The sequence below is a fragment of the Homo sapiens genome, chromosome 9 (genome assembly GCF_000001405.40).
Source record: "Homo sapiens chromosome 9, GRCh38.p14 Primary Assembly".
Classification (NCBI taxonomy): domain Eukaryota; kingdom Metazoa; phylum Chordata; class Mammalia; order Primates; family Hominidae; genus Homo; species Homo sapiens.
In genome coordinates, this window is record NC_000009.12 from 17,327,368 (window position 1) to 17,342,878 (window position 15,511).

General features: G+C 33.6%; 1 protein-coding gene across 19 annotated transcripts in view, besides 1 other annotated feature; it reads left to right on the forward strand.

The window, feature by feature from the left end:
* Positions 1-15,511, forward strand: part of CNTLN (centlein) — a 393,595-nt gene that overhangs the window by 192,328 nt on the left and 185,756 nt on the right. For 15 of the 19 annotated variants that reach the window (XR_007061321.1, XR_007061322.1, XR_929282.3 and 12 more), the window contains 4 exons: positions 3,265-3,441; positions 5,238-5,363; positions 13,460-13,581; positions 14,958-15,077. Coding sequence is in view for 14 of the 19 variants with exons in the window: in XM_017014839.2 (XP_016870328.1) it covers positions 3,265-3,441; positions 5,238-5,363; positions 13,460-13,581; positions 14,958-15,077 (545 nt within the window). In the remaining 5 variants the exon portion in view is untranslated. Of the gene's footprint in view, positions 1-2,892; positions 2,985-3,264; positions 3,442-5,237; positions 5,364-5,385; positions 6,588-13,459; positions 13,582-14,957; positions 15,078-15,511 lie in introns of those variants that run through there. The other 4 variants (XM_017014844.1, XM_017014845.3, XM_017014846.2 and 1 more) reach the window with 4 other exon arrangements.
* Positions 4,657-5,303: an enhancer, noted in NCBI's record as "OCT4-NANOG hESC enhancer chr9:17332022-17332668 (GRCh37/hg19 assembly coordinates)". NCBI's record gives its function as "activates a minimal SCP1, AML or CMV promoter by ChIP-STARR-seq in primed H9 embryonic stem cells {active_cell/tissue: H9 hESC(primed)}" and the evidence as "EXISTENCE:reporter gene assay evidence [ECO:0000049][PMID:30033119]".

The following is a 15,511-nucleotide window of genomic DNA, read 5'->3' on the forward strand; positions in this document are numbered from 1 at the left end:
GTGAGACGGGGTTTCACCGTGTTAGCCAGGATGGTCTCGATCTCCTGACCTCGTGATCCGCTCTTCTCGGCCTCCCGAAGTGCTGGGATTACAGGCATGAGCCACCGCACCCAGCTGTTTCCTTTTTTTTTTTTTTTTCAAAGTCTGAGAGATATATCACAAACTTACTAGTAGGAACTTTGAGGGATGAGATTGTGAAGAGACTTTTATTTATATTTCCCTTACCTATACTGAAATTTTTACATTGAACTCATAGTCATTTTATTTGCAAAAAAATAAATATTTCTATTTTGAAAAGCATTTAGGCCGGGTGCAGTGGCTTATGCCTGTAATCCCAACCCTTTGGGAGGCCGAGGCAGGTGGATCACCTGAGGTCAGGAGTTCGAGACCAGCCTGATCAACATGGTGAAACCCCTTCTCTACTAAAAATACAAAAGTAGCTGGGCATGGTGGCAGATGCCTGTAATCCCAGCTACTCAGGAGGCTGAGGCAGGAGAATTGCTTGAATTCAGGAGGCAGAGGTTGCAGTGAGCCGAGATTGCACCATTGCACTCCAGCCTGGGCAACAAAAGTGAAACTCCGTCTCAAAAAAGAAAAAAAAAAGCATTTAGTGACATGTCCATTGTAAAATCTTTAAGGAAATTCAGGTAAGTACAAAGAAAATAATTCATATTACAGTCCCTCTACTTAGAAATCACACTGTAACATTTCAGGGTTGTTTTTGTACCTTATGCATGTTTGGTGAAATCTATTTCTACATATAATATACCCTTTTGTACCCTACTTTTCTCAGTTTATCATAGATATCTTTCCATTTTAGCCTTCAGCATAATTAGAAGTAAATTAAAGGTTTGGTACATTTTTATGAGCTTTGATGCATCTTTCATAATTTCTCTAGAAAATTGATAGCAGATTATACTTCTACCCACTACCACATTCTCAAAGTAACCCATAAACTGGGTCCAACCAACATTTGAAAATTTGGACACTCTCCTTAGAAATCCTAATTCTTTGCTTTTCGTGAAAAATCAGTAAATCTAGCAACAGTGGGGCACATTCTTCCCTGAAAACAATTGGCTGGAGTTGAGCGGCAACTGCCCTGAATTCCCTCCTTACCACTCAGCAGTGGGGCTGAGTGTTGACACTTCATTTTGCTCATATTTAATACTTAAAAAAATGGTTTTATTAGGAGAAATGTAAAACACTTCTTGTAAACATGTCTGTAACAAAAGTGATAAAAGGCAAGAGAGAGACAAACCAGACTTAAAGAAAATGGGAACATGAATAAGTTACTTTGTGAAGGGGAGGAACATATCTACTTGGTTAATATGTATGCAAAATGCCTCTGTTGGATGAATTTTAAAGCTATTACTTTAAAACACATATTTATTTATCTGCATTATCTTCCTGGCTTCTATTCACTCTTTGATAGTATTTTAATTGTGAAGTTCTCTGATTTTTTATTGAGGAATTTTGAAGGAATGCTGCCTAAATATCCTTTATTGTTATCAAAAATATTAATATCATTAATATAATATCAGTAGAAATATTAAAAATGAATCCATTATTATAGTGACAGTATCCACTGTTGGAGCATTGTTAATGTCTTATATTTGAGTTATTTATCATAGCTTCTTGACTGAATATTAATTTTATAATATTCCTAGCTATAGCATTATAATCCATTGATGACTTAGGAAGTTCATTTATTGACGAACACAAGTTTGCTTGTTGGATATACCAATAAACTAAAATTATGTTTTTCTGATTTTATTCTAAGTTTTTGTTTGACCTTAAACAAATTATTTAAAATTTATTTTGTATATGATAGGATGTTAATATAACATTTATAATTTTATTAAAGGAAACCTAGACAAGAGCAGGTAGCCTTTGAAATAGTTTAGCTTGGCAGCCCAACCAAAGGAAATATTTCTAAACCTCAGAAGTTTGACTATAAAACAGGAGAAAAGATAAAAAATAAAAGTTGTACAACGATTAAAATGGGGATAAAAGAATAGGGCAAAATCATTTAGACTTCCTGGAAGAGAAATGCTTAAAATATTTTAATTTGATGTTCAAAGCAAGATAATGAAATAAGTAATATATTGTAAGTATGGTAACAGTACAATGTAAACAATACTTTGAGGAAGATAATCATATGGTAGAATAAAGGTTGGAAACAAATGAGGTGATTTAAATATGAGAAAAGTGTAATAGTATAAATCAAATATGGTCCCTCTCATTATACAAATTGCAGGTTAGAATTAGGAAAATTTTGCGTATCCTCTCAAAAAAGAAAAAAGCAGGCACAATTGGAAAAGGATGATGTTTCCCATTGTTGGTTCAAAAAAGTTAACCGTATATATTTTTCTCATAGTACTTAGGAATATCATTTAGGAAGGATGGGGCCCTTCATCAGTTTAAGTGCAAATATTTTCAGGGCTACTAGATCCTTATTGATAATGTTAGAATCATAAGATTTGACATTTGTTTGCCTGTAAGTCAACAAAAACTGTTTTCATGTGATTCTGTGTTTTTGTTTTTGTAAATGTAGTTGTTAATTTGAAACAGCGAATTTGCATGGGTTTTAATGGCCTCAAATACATTCAGTGGAGATGGTAGTCAAATTTTGCAGAATTCCAGTTTTCATGAACAGGTTTCCTACAAGATTAGTTTTCCTGTGACTTCTGTTGTTAAAATGTGGAGCTTACCATTAGCAGTTTATCTGAAACATGAATAAATTTCAAAGGAGAATGCTGTAAACTATATTGACTTAAAATTGTCAGGGTTCTTTGAGGAGTTGTTATTAAATTAGTTTACAGTAAAAGCTGATTGTACTTATAATGCTGTTGTTTTCCTTTTCCCAGGTTTATATTCTATGGTATTGTATGACTCTTGATGACCAGATGGTGGATTGACTGTTTTGTGAGGCAATACATATGTGTATAATCAGAAATTTGAAATGACTCATTTATAGATGAGTGGTGTGTATCATGCAGCCATGCTTTAAATTTTTTTCCTTGAAATCTATATGACAGCATTATTTATGAAAATACTTGCATATAGACTCTTGGTTATTTTATTGGAAAATACTATTCTATGGAATGAAAAGGTTCAGCTCCTGCTAGTTTATTATTAAAAGGAAAATTTCCTTCTCTGAATATTTACAATTTCTATAATATAGTGTTACATTTAACTATTTATTTATAAATAATGTAAGATACAAACATAGATATCTATTTACAATTATACTTTTTAAAATAGGTACCTCATCGCCCATCCTTATCAAGCTTAGAAACGTTAATGGTTTCACAGAAGTCTGAAATTGAGTATTTACAGGAGAAACTAAAGATAGCAAATGAAAAACTGTCAGAAAACATATCTGCCAACAAGGGTTTCTCCCGAAAGAGCATCATGACAAGTGCTGAAGGAAAACATAAGGTAGGGACATTTTGTCATTTTGTGAATTTGCCAGGATGAGGCTGGAAAGACAAGAGATGAAGTTAAAAAACAAATGGCAGCATTTACTTCTCTGCTTGTATTTCGGGAAACTTTTGAAAAATATTATGTACCGAACTCTTGTTAAATAAGTTTTAGGAGTAAGGAGTTTTCCCTTTTTAAAGACTGAGTTATATTCCCAAATTAGTTAATTAAATATATTATTAGTGCTATACCCATTTTGTCAGTAAATTAACATTCTTATATTAAAACTTTGGTAAGTATTCCTCATCTCTCTCATATATTAATCTATCTGATTAAAAATTTATTTTTAAATGGTATTTACTCACTTTTCTAATTTGAATTAAAAGAAAAATATATCTAATATGTCTTTCAATCAGATATGATGTTTAAAATACTGTCTGTGTGGAAAATAAAATAGTAAATGAATTTTAACACTAACTTCTGCACTTGTTATATATTTTTATAGATTTAAAGGGATAGCATTAAGAGAAAAATAAGCAAATTTTACATGTTTCTCGTTTATTAATGTCTCAATTTTTTTTAGTATTCATTACATAGTTGTGTTACGCTGTAAAAGATTCTACAGAATGTTGACTAATATAAAAATTCTAAAATATCATGTAGTACATACATTATTTCTAGATAAATTGAAATAACATTTTCCTCAGAGTAAGAGTTTTAGCATATTTTTCACACGCTTGTTACTTCAGCAATAAAGGAATAATAGTTTTTATAATAGGAAGCCATGTTGTTAAGATAATTGTTTTTGTTTCTTTCCATTTTTTCTTATGGGTAGGACAAACTATCTTAATAAAGGAAGTATTTAAAATTTGAACCATGTTTCTGTGGTACTGTTATTCATGCTCTCTGAAATTATTAGTAATTTTCAGAAAATGAGATTTATTTATTAAAACATAACTGCATTATACATTTCTTGCCATTTTGAAGTAGTTTCACAAGCACTGAACTTTATTTAAATGAAAGAAAACATTCATAAAATTGAAATACAGCATTACCGGGCCTAATTTGGTTGCTTGCTCGATTGCTGAAATTTAAAAATGTATGACTTTGACTTTTTTCTGCCTTTAATAAAAGTCAAGAAAAAGAGAGGGGTATTATGGCCAAAATTTTCTTTCTTTTTGTAAGGCCATGCAGTAAGGATGAGCACTGTGTTGCCCAGCTTAATAGTTGCTTTCACATATTCTTTCTCCAGATTGGTATATGAAGCTGTACATAATATAAACGTATTCTTGTCTCTAGTTAGCCACATTATAGTTAATGACCATATGGTCATTATGGTATAAGATCTACTGTCTGTTGTATTTATATTCCTCAAGCATATTGTTCCTTCAACTTCACAGTGTGTTAAACTATTTCAAAGGGAAAAAAATCCTTTCCCTCTTGTTTCTGGTTGTCCTATCAAGTGTAACCTTGGACCCTTATAGAGCAATTAGACCAGCCTCTATCCCCTCCTTTGTAATGAGGTTTCTTGCATTTCTGAGTCTATAACCCTTTAGTCTTCCCTAATGGGACATCATTATTCTGAAAGAAACAATGTAAATGTAAATGAATATTCTCATTAACGAGTCACAGAGAAACCTTTAGCGGTAGCACTGTGGTAATTCCGCTTGTTATTTCTCTGGTATTCCATGCAGGATTTTTTTTTTTTTTATAATTCATTATTAGTATTCAAAATTACTTGTTCTTTAATTTTGCATGTCTTTCATAATCCAGTGTTCCAACTAGTTCAACCATGTCCTTGTTTTATTCTCGAGGAACCACCTGTGAAACGTTCAAGGTCTTTGTCCCCAAAGAGCTCTTTCACAGACTCAGAAGAGCTACAGAAGCTGAGAAAAGCTGAAAGAAAGATTGAAAACTTAGAGAAGGCACTACAACTAAAGGTGAACATTAAATCATTTCTTTAGTAGTAACCTTGCAAAGATAAAAATATACCAAAGTAAACATACAGTTCATAGATTACTAGTTGTCCTTTTTCTTTCCTGAATTTAATTGCCTGTATAAAAGTGTATAATCAGTTCATCTTGTTATTAAGATTTCTGAGGATGATAAAATAATATAAAATATTTGCTACTTGAAAAGTAAATGTTTATTTACTACTTTCAAGTTATTTGGTAATATTTTGTCTTAAAATTGGGAATAAATTTCTTAACCCTTTCCCAAAGGCAAAAAATAGAATTGTAGCAAGTGAAAAGAGAATTTCTTCTTCTTTATATATGATAAACATATGTAAATGAAAGTGAGTTTAAAAGCATATTAACCTAGCTCAGATCACTTACAATTATCCTTTATAGAAAAATTACATTTAGTCAAAATGAAATATATATATATTTTTTCATTTCAGCTGAATTTGTCTCAGAACATGTGACATTTGAATGAGCACTCTACCATGTTTAAGAAACATGTATGTTATCGACCAGTCTTTGAGAGCTTATATTAATACTTCCTAATTCATACTTTGTGAAATCTCTTTTTCAATATGCAAGTTGTTCATACATATTGAACCCATTTTGTGTGACTACATTGAGGGTTTTTTTTCTCTTTCATTCTTCATTCACAATTACCTGAAGCTGTGCCCTATTTGAAGTTTAATCATATAATTCTCAAGTAGTTTTATGATATTCTGTAAATCTAGTGCTTTACACATGATTAGAATGCAGTACACATGAAGCTCAGATTCTTTGTCATATAATATAGATTACTCTTAAGGAGATAAATGTTCAGTTTAGATTATGTGTGTTCTAAAACAAAATAGGGTTTATGGGTATAGTTAACAATAAGCTATAATTAATAATTTTAGTTTGCCTTAAGTTTAAACATTAAGTTTTAGTTTATGTTTATTCATTCAGAGTTAAACTGCTCTAAAACATGAAAATTATAATGTGTTTCTACCAAAAATAACATGTCCAAATGACCTCAGCTAGCATTTAGCCTACTTGAAATTTATAAAGAACTTAGATAAACACCTAAGTTATTCTCTTATTCATTTGTTTCCTCAATAGCAATTACTGAGCATTGCAATTAGCTAAGCATCATACTAGTACTTGTCTAACAGGAGACTGTTAAATGAGTTGCTATCCTTCAAGACCCTTTCTCTAGTTAAGAAGGTAAGTAAGTAGTTAACTCTTGTGTTAATTGTAAATGTGTGGTTAGGCACAGGATATTATGGGCATTTTTGAGGAGCAAGTCTATCATCTTCCTCCTTTTGCATAATTTTTTTTCTTTCCCTTGAGACAGAGTCTTACTCTGTTGCCTAGGCTAGAGTGCAGTGGCATGATCTCGGCTCACTGCACCCTCTGCCTCCCAGGTTCGAGCTATTCTTCTGTCTCAGCCCCCCGAGTAGCTGGGATTACAGGCGTGTGCCACCACTCCTGGCTAATTTTTGTGTTTTTAGCAGAGATGGAGTTTTACCATGTTGGCCAGGCTGATCTCAAACTCCTGACCTCAAATGATCCTCCTGCCTCAGCCTCCCAAAGTGCTGGGATTACAGGCGCGAGCCGCTGCTCCTGGCCCTTTTGCATAATTCTTGAAATTTGTTACCTGGGTTCTCCAGAGAAACAGAGCCAATAGAATACACACACACACACACACACACACACAGAACAATTATTTACTATATTTATATAATTCCTTATAGTAAATTAGATTTATATGAGATTTCCTATAAGGAATTGGCTTACGTGATAATGGAGGCTCAGAAGTATAAGATCTGTAGTCGCTCAGGGAATGCTATGCAGCCATAAGAAAGAATGAAATCCTGTCCTTTGCAGCAACATGAGTGCAGCTGGAGGTCATTGTCCTATGTGAACTAATGTAGAAACAGAAAACTAAATATCACATGTTCTCATTTATAAGTGGGGGCTAAACCTGAGTACACATGGACATAAAGATGGGAACAGTAGACACTAAAGAACTGCAAAAGGAAGGGAGCAAGGGCTATAAACCTTCTTATTGGGTACTGTGTTCACTATCTGGGTGATGGGATCAATAGAAGCCCAAACCTCAGCATCCTGCAATATACCCTTGTAACAAACCTGTACATGTGCTCCCTGAATCTAAAATTAAAAAAAAAAAAAAAAAAAAAGATTTTCAATTGGCAAGCTAGAGAGCCAGGAGAGCTGATGGTATAGTTCCAGTTTGAGCCCAAAAACTATAGAACCAGGAAAGCTGATGGTGTAAGTTCAAGTTCAAGTCAGAAGGCAAGAGAAGACTAATGTCCCAGCTTGAAGGCAGGCAGAGAGAAAGGAATCTTTCTTACTCAGCTTTTATTCTATTGAGGTTTTCAACAGATTAAATGACATCCATCCATATTGGGGTTCATGCTTTTAGTTCAGCTTATTCTCATCTAGGAACCTTTGTTCAAACCTGAAGATTAGATAAAAAATTATTGGCTGGGCGCGGTGGCTCACGCCTGTAATCCCAGCACTTTGGGAGGCCAAGCCGGGTGGATCACGAGTTCAAGAGATCGAGACCATCATGGTTAACATGGTGAAACCCTGTCTCTACTAAAAATACAAAAATTAGCTGGGTGTGGTGGTGCATGCCTCTAATCCCAGCTACTCAGGGGGCTGAGGCAGGAGAATTGCTTGAACCTAGAAGGCAGAGGTTGCAGTGAGTCGAGATCGTACCACTGCACTCCAGCCTGGTGACAGAGTGAGACTGTGTTTCAAAAATTATTTATGTTTTTAATCAATTCAGAATTAGAATTGCAAAGATCTTTGAGGAAAAGGTCAGTTGATACATTTTTTCCTGTTTTCTATTTCCTAATGTTTCATTCATTCATACTTGTTCGTACACAGAAAGAGCCTTGCCAGGCACGATGGCTCAGGCCTGTAATTGTAGCACTTTGGGAGGCTGAGGTGGGTGCATAACTTGAGGCCAGGAGTTCAAGACCAGCCTGGACAACATGGCAAAACCCTGTGTCTACTAAAAATAGACAAAAAAATGAGCTGGGTTAGGTGGTGCACACCTGTAATCCCAGCTACTCAGTAGGCTGAGGGATGAGAATCGCTTGAACCCAGGAGGCAGAGGTTGCAGCAAGCTGAGATCCTGCCACTACATTCCAGCGAGTCTGTCTCAAAAACAAAAACAAAAACAAAGTTAGAGCTTCTAGTTTAGCTAGTTTAATTACAAAATCCAAAGGAAGTACTTAGTAAATGTTTTATTGAATGATCTAATGAACTGATCTCATTCAGCACCTGCCTGTGGAATATTTTTGTGTGTATCCTGTAGGAAAATATATTAATTAGTGATATAAAATACATTTTTCAGGTCATACACTTGACTTGTTGTAAGATCTTTGGTGGTAATAGTTCCCAAATAAAGTACTATTATTTTGCCTTTGCTTACTATTTGTCAAAGTTTGGATCATAATCCAAACTACAGTTAACCTGTGTTTGTTAGAAGGTTATAAAGAAAGTATTTGGATATTTTGAAAAATATTTATTTTAAGATATCCAACTTTTGATGGATGACTTCAGCTGGCATGTATTCTGGCGCCATTAAAATGAAGAAGTGTTTTTCTTTGAACTGTATCTATCTTATATTTACATTTTTATAAAACTTTACTCTCTATTGCTGAAGTAAGATAAAGGAACAATAGTCTCTAGGACTAATTTAATGCATGATTTACACTTTGACAGCAGCGTCCCCAAACATGAATCTTTGGATGAAACTGCATTTTAAAAGATTTTTTCTTATGAATTATGTCTATCAAATGATTTGCAAATAATAGCTAGTTGAATTTTATTTTTAATAGTTTAGATTTTGATAATTTTATAAGACTTATGTAAACACTCTGCTGTTAGATATAATAAATTAAGCAAGTAAAATTAAAGCAGAAGGCTCATCTATAAAACCTTTTTTTAAAAAAATTATACTTTAAGTTCTGGGATACATGTGCAGAATGTGCAGGTTTGTTACATAGGTGTACATGTGCCATGGTGGTTTGCTGCACCCATCAACCTGTCACCTACATTAGGTATTTCTCTAAATGCTGGGTCAAATGGTATTTCTGGTTCTAGATCCTTGAGGAATCGCCACACTGTCTTCCACAATGGTTGAACTAATTTACCCTCCCGCCAACAGTGTACAAGTGTTTCTGTTTCTCCACATCCTCTCTAGCATTTGTTGTTTCCTGGCTTTTTAATGATCACCATTCTAACTGGCATGAGATGGTATCTCATTGTGGTTTTGATTTCCATAATGACCAGTGATGATGAGCTTTTTTTCATATGTTTGTTGGCTACATAAACGTGTTCTTTTGAGAAGTGTCTGTTCATATCCTTCGCCCACTTTTTGATGGGGTTGTTTGTTTTTTTCTTGTAAATTTGTTTAAGTTCCTTGTAGATTCTGGATATTAGCCCTTTGTCAGATGGACAGATTGCAAAAAATTTTTTCCATTCTGTAGGTTGCCTGTTCACTCTGATGATAGTTTCTTTTGCTGTGCAAAAGCTCTTTAGTTTTATTAGATCCCATTTGTCAATTTTGGCTTTTGTTGCCATTGCTTTTGGTGTTTTAGTCATAAAGTCTTCGCCCATGCCTGTGTCCTGAATGGTATTGCATAGGATAAAACTATTTTTTCTGTAATTAATACTTAGTGGAAAGAGCCACTTATTGAAATTACTATAGGAAAATCAAAATTATTTGGTAATATTGAACATTTTACACTAAAGCTTTGGGAATCAGAAGGGGCAGCATTCACTGCTTTTATTAATTAAAGTGCCTAGTACAGAGTCTGGCACATCATGAATGACATATGGAGCTCAGGAGATTTTTATTGATTCTTAGTCTTTGGTTTAATGGTGTAATATAGTTAGTTTCTATGGACAATTAGGGAAAACACATGAATTCAATGACTAATGGTAGTTGAGGCAGTACTGAAAAATCCTTAACATAGTGTCAATACATATAAGAATCTCAGTTTGTTCCATGAATTTAACAGAGAATCATTGTGAAAGTAATTGAGAAAATTTGTACATCCTATTCTATTTATTTTCACATCTTGGTCAATCTTTGAGGTTCTATTTACTCAGTTTCTGATGACTCTAACAAAAAACTTTAGTCATTCCCCAAACAGTTTATATATAATAATTTTTAAGAAAGTCATTGTAAAATAAGAGTTTGAGGGAAGAACTTTGATTCAATGAAGAATAATTATAGAAAGCTATCATAGAAGTCTTTAACATAAGATACACATTTTAGTTTAAGTTTCTTTTGAAATTATGTTTTGACATGAATCTCTTCCAATATAGTCTGTTAATTTCCCTCCCTCCTTCTTTCCTTCCTTCCTTCCTTCCTTCTTCTTTCTTTCTTTTTCTTTCTTTTTTTTTTGACAGAGTGTCTCTCTGTCGCCCAAGCTGTAGTACAGTGCAGTGGCGCCATCTTTGCTCACTGCAACCTCTGCCTCCTGGGTTCAAGCGATTCTCCTTCCTCAGCCTCCTGAGTAGCTGAGATTACAGGCACCTGCTATCACTCCTGGCTAATTTTTGTTTTTTTTTTTTTTTTTTAGAGATGGGGTTTCACTATATTGGCCAGTCCGGTCTCAAACTCCTGACCTCAAGTGGTTTGTCTGGCTCGGCCTCCCAAAGTGCTGAGATTAGAGGCATGAACCACTGTGTCCAGCCTATTAATTTCTTATAATTAAATTATTAATAAATTTCTAATATGTCTTGCTGAAATCACTAATATTGTTTTCTAGTTTTTAAGCAATCTCAATAAACATAATTAACTCATGTTCATATATGAGAAGGTACCAACATTATTAATTTTTAATCTCTTGTTTTGCTAACTTAAATTATTTATTTCACATACTTAACAATAGAAAGCTTTTTGTTCAAAGACATTAAGTAGTATTTGGATTGTTAACCAAATTAATATGAAAAACTCAAGTTCAAGACTAAATTATTCTCTATGTCTTAGAAGAAGAGATATAAATAGCTTCTATTTTGAAGATGGATAACCTGAGTTAACTGAATTTAAGTAACTAGATCAAAGTAAAATTTAGTTAACTTTGAGCAGCTAGATTTGAACTCTTATCAACACAGCATCCTACGTGTAATAGACTCTTCATGTATGGTTCTTAAATTGAAATGAACAAAATTGAACTCAGTAACCTGAGGTTTTTACTTTTACTTCATATATTAAACTATCCTACTTTAGCAAATTTGCATTATGTGTGATTTGTATATCTTCTAAAACTACTTAGGAAACATTTATTTTGAATGCCTTTGTCAACTGAATCCATTCTGCTTTTTCATCAAGCACTTTCATTTCTGTACGGCATATAGAACACTTCTTGTTACAAACAAGACTCAAATACTTCTTAATAACTACTTAAGAGAACTATCCTAGTAGAAATATAGTGAAAGTAGAATGACAGACTACCCATACTGCTAAGACAGCTAGAATTGCAGTAAAATAATGCAGACTCTATAAAGTATTATCTCACTGTTTAGATGAGAGGTCAAGAAACAGTTACTTGGTTTCTAAAAGATAAGGGCATCACTGTTAACATGTGGGAAAAGGAGACTGAAAGAAGCTAACTTTTGCTTTGTGTCCTTAAAAGGGCTGGGGCCCCACCACCTAGGTTAACTTATTTCATCAAAATTTAAACCTCTTTTTTCTCTTCCATATTTTGCAGGAAAAAACTTGAATTAATTTCAATGGTGTTCTTAAGATAATGCCACTAACAGGAGCAAGCTCCAAGAATGGAATTCAGATCTTTCTGATTACCATATGCCTACTCATATCACCTCACTATAATATTAGAGAGTATCTGTTGCCTCCACCACATAAGTATACAAGTTCATTCATACAGAAATATGAATAACAGTTATTAAAATATTTGAAATTCTCATGAGGGAAGAAACTGGAGAAGTTACTTATTTTACTTTGAGAAACACAGTTTATAGTCATGTGCATATATCTTCTGAGGACTAAGAATTTCGTCTTTATAAATTCATTTTATATATATCTAAAAATGAAAATTGATCTCATGTGCTATATATTGGAAGTAGTTGACTGTGCCACACACGGTGGCTTATGCCTGTAATTCCAGCATTTTGGGAGGCTGAGGCAGGAGGATCATTTGATACCAGGAGTTCGAGACCAGCCTTGGCAACAGAGTGAGACCCTGTTTCTACAAAAATAAAATAAAAAATTGGCTGGGTGTGATACTGTATGCCTGTAGTCCTAGCTACTTGGGAGGCTGACATGGGAAGATTGCCTGAGCCCAGGAGTTTGAGACTGCAGTGAGCTTTGAACTCCAGCCTGGGCCACAGAGGGAAGCCCTGTTTCCAGAAAAATAAAAATAAATAAAAAAGAAGTAGTTGACTATAATTGTCTAACCTAGGTATTGACACAACAAAGCAATGTTTGGATGGCTTGTTTTATAACCTCTTTAAGAGTTGTAAGCCTAGCTTTCCCATTCCAGTTCTTCATGGTACAACCCCAGAAGGTTAAACTATGCTCCTTCTAACATAGGGTCCAATCTCATTTTCTTCCTTATGTGTAATCCTTGTGCCTTAGTAAATATTAGTTATGAATTCATGTGCTAAATAATTGTTCTTACTCTGATTAATGTTCTTATACTAATTATATTTGCACTTTAATAAAATAATCATGGTTTATGTATAGATAAAACCTTATGCTGAAAAAGAAAATAATTAAAAACATGTAAGATAGGTTTATGAATGTATACTAATTAACAACAGGGAAAGGAGTGAAACTATCTTAATGGTAAAATTTTGAAATTATGTGAGCAGCTTAAAAAATGCATTGACTGAGTTGAATTTATCAAGCAAATGTATTCTGTGACTAGAGAAATTCTTTTTTCTGCTTAAATACATATTACAGATTCATTTATGTTTACACACTATTTTCTTTCAAATTTCATATTTAGATGGGTAACCTTTTATTTGAAACATTATATTAATACTTTCTTCAAACTTATATATACTTGCTTTTTTGTGTTCTACAGAGCCAAGAAAATGATGAGCTAAGAGATGCCCATGAAAAACGCAAGGAACGGCTACAGATGTTACAGACCAACTACAGAGCAGTAAAAGAGCAATTAAAACAGTGGGAAGAAGGCAGTGGCATGTGAGTTACATAGCTCATAAAGGCATTTCCCTAAATATTAAATGGAATGGAGTAGCATTATATAGGTGTCTTAATGGCTTTTGTTTGGTTTTAAAGAAATTATTTGGTAGTCAAATCTTTATTGTGAATTTTTAAATGGAGAATATAACAAATTAAAACAGAGGAATGTGTTGGTAATAACTATAGATTTTCCTCACATTTGCAGATATCATTAGCAGTCAATGATTATGAATTATTGTACACATTTTTAATATCAATGGAATAACTTAATAAAATTATGTAATTTAAAGCAAAAATGGTTAATATCCGTGTGATTGAAAAACTTGCTTTTAAATAAATAAAATACTGGTGTTAAAATGTTTATAACTCCAAAAGTATTTAAATTTTAGTGGAAAGACTAGAGAAATATGAAATTCACATATATAGTTAACTATCTTAAAACTACTTCAACCTAGTATGCAATTTGAAGATCTTTACTATCCATCAGTTTGTTCTCCAGCTTATGTGAATGAATTGGCGGTCTCAGTTCAATTGCTCTGAACAGGTGTTCAGATCTTGGTTAGTCGTAAGTGGCTCCCCTGTTAACTGTATCAACAGAGGGCAAAGGACTGAATGAGTACAGAAAATCTACTACCTTCTCATCTTTTGAGATGGATCCTTTAGGGCAATGTTGATGATACACATTGGTCTGTTCTGTAGAGAAATACTGTTTCTAAATTGGCCAGTACGGCACTTTTACAAAATAAAAATGAAGAATTTGTTTTATGTTCAGAAAATGAAAATGTAAAGGGCATTTGGCATCACTTGTAGATAATTGTCACATCTAATTTTTTTCTTTGATGAGTGGAAGTGTTTTGTATCACTTGTCAGTAAAGCAGTGATAAAGCAGTTTGTCCTAGATTTATCCTCTGTTCACCCAGCTTAACTAATCATTAGAAGAGTGAAATCTACTTTCTGACATATTCACTGGTAATAGTTTTTTTAAAAGATAAAGGCATCTGTACCACATTCATCTTGGTTAGCAGCAAATTCCAGATGAGTTGGTTGCATATAGATTTTTTTGTATGCGGGGGGGACCGTTAAAATTCTACAGTGTCTGTTTTCATTACTACTAGACTGAATGGGAGCAATAGACCTTAGAATATCATGTGTCTGCTTAAAAGTTTGCTTTCCACAGTAGCAGTTTAGCTTCAAAAAATTATGATAGAGGGTTTTGATTTCTACATGCTTAGGTTTTAGGAAATTCATTCAATAAATGGTGAACTCGAGTTAGAAATTTGGTCAATAGATATTTTTAAATTTTAAGGAATGTATAAAATAATTTTTATTGCACTTCAGACATGTTAATTGAAAAAGCAACTTTGTTTTAAAAATAGGACTGAAATCAGGAAAATAAAGAGAGCAGATCCCCAACAACTTCGACAAGAAGATTCTGACGCTGTGTGGAATGAACTGGCATATTTCAAAAGGGAAAACCAGGAGCTAATGATTCAAAAGTGAGTTTCATTTTTAACAATATGGACTTAGATAAAATACTTGGGAGAAATTTTTTCATGGCTTAAAAGCTATTAAAGAAACACTTTATAAAATTTGAAATAATCTGATTTTTGCCAATAAAAGTAAAGAAAAAAAGACTAGCTTTTAAAAATATATATATGTATTATGCAATAACAAGTTGCACAGTTGCTAGCTCTAACAGAAACTGGATAATATGATCTAGGGATTGTGTTAATTAGTGTGGCTCTCATCTGTTGGAGGTGTCGCTCTTCATTAGCCTGTATTTTAGACGCTGCCGTGCTTCATTTTTGGAATGAGGTGGAGAGGGGATAACCTAGCCAGCCATCCTTGTTTGATCTCCTAGATACATACGCAATGCAGAATGCCTGAGCTCTCTTGGTTCCCTGCCCTGTCCTGCTAATCCCAGCTGAGC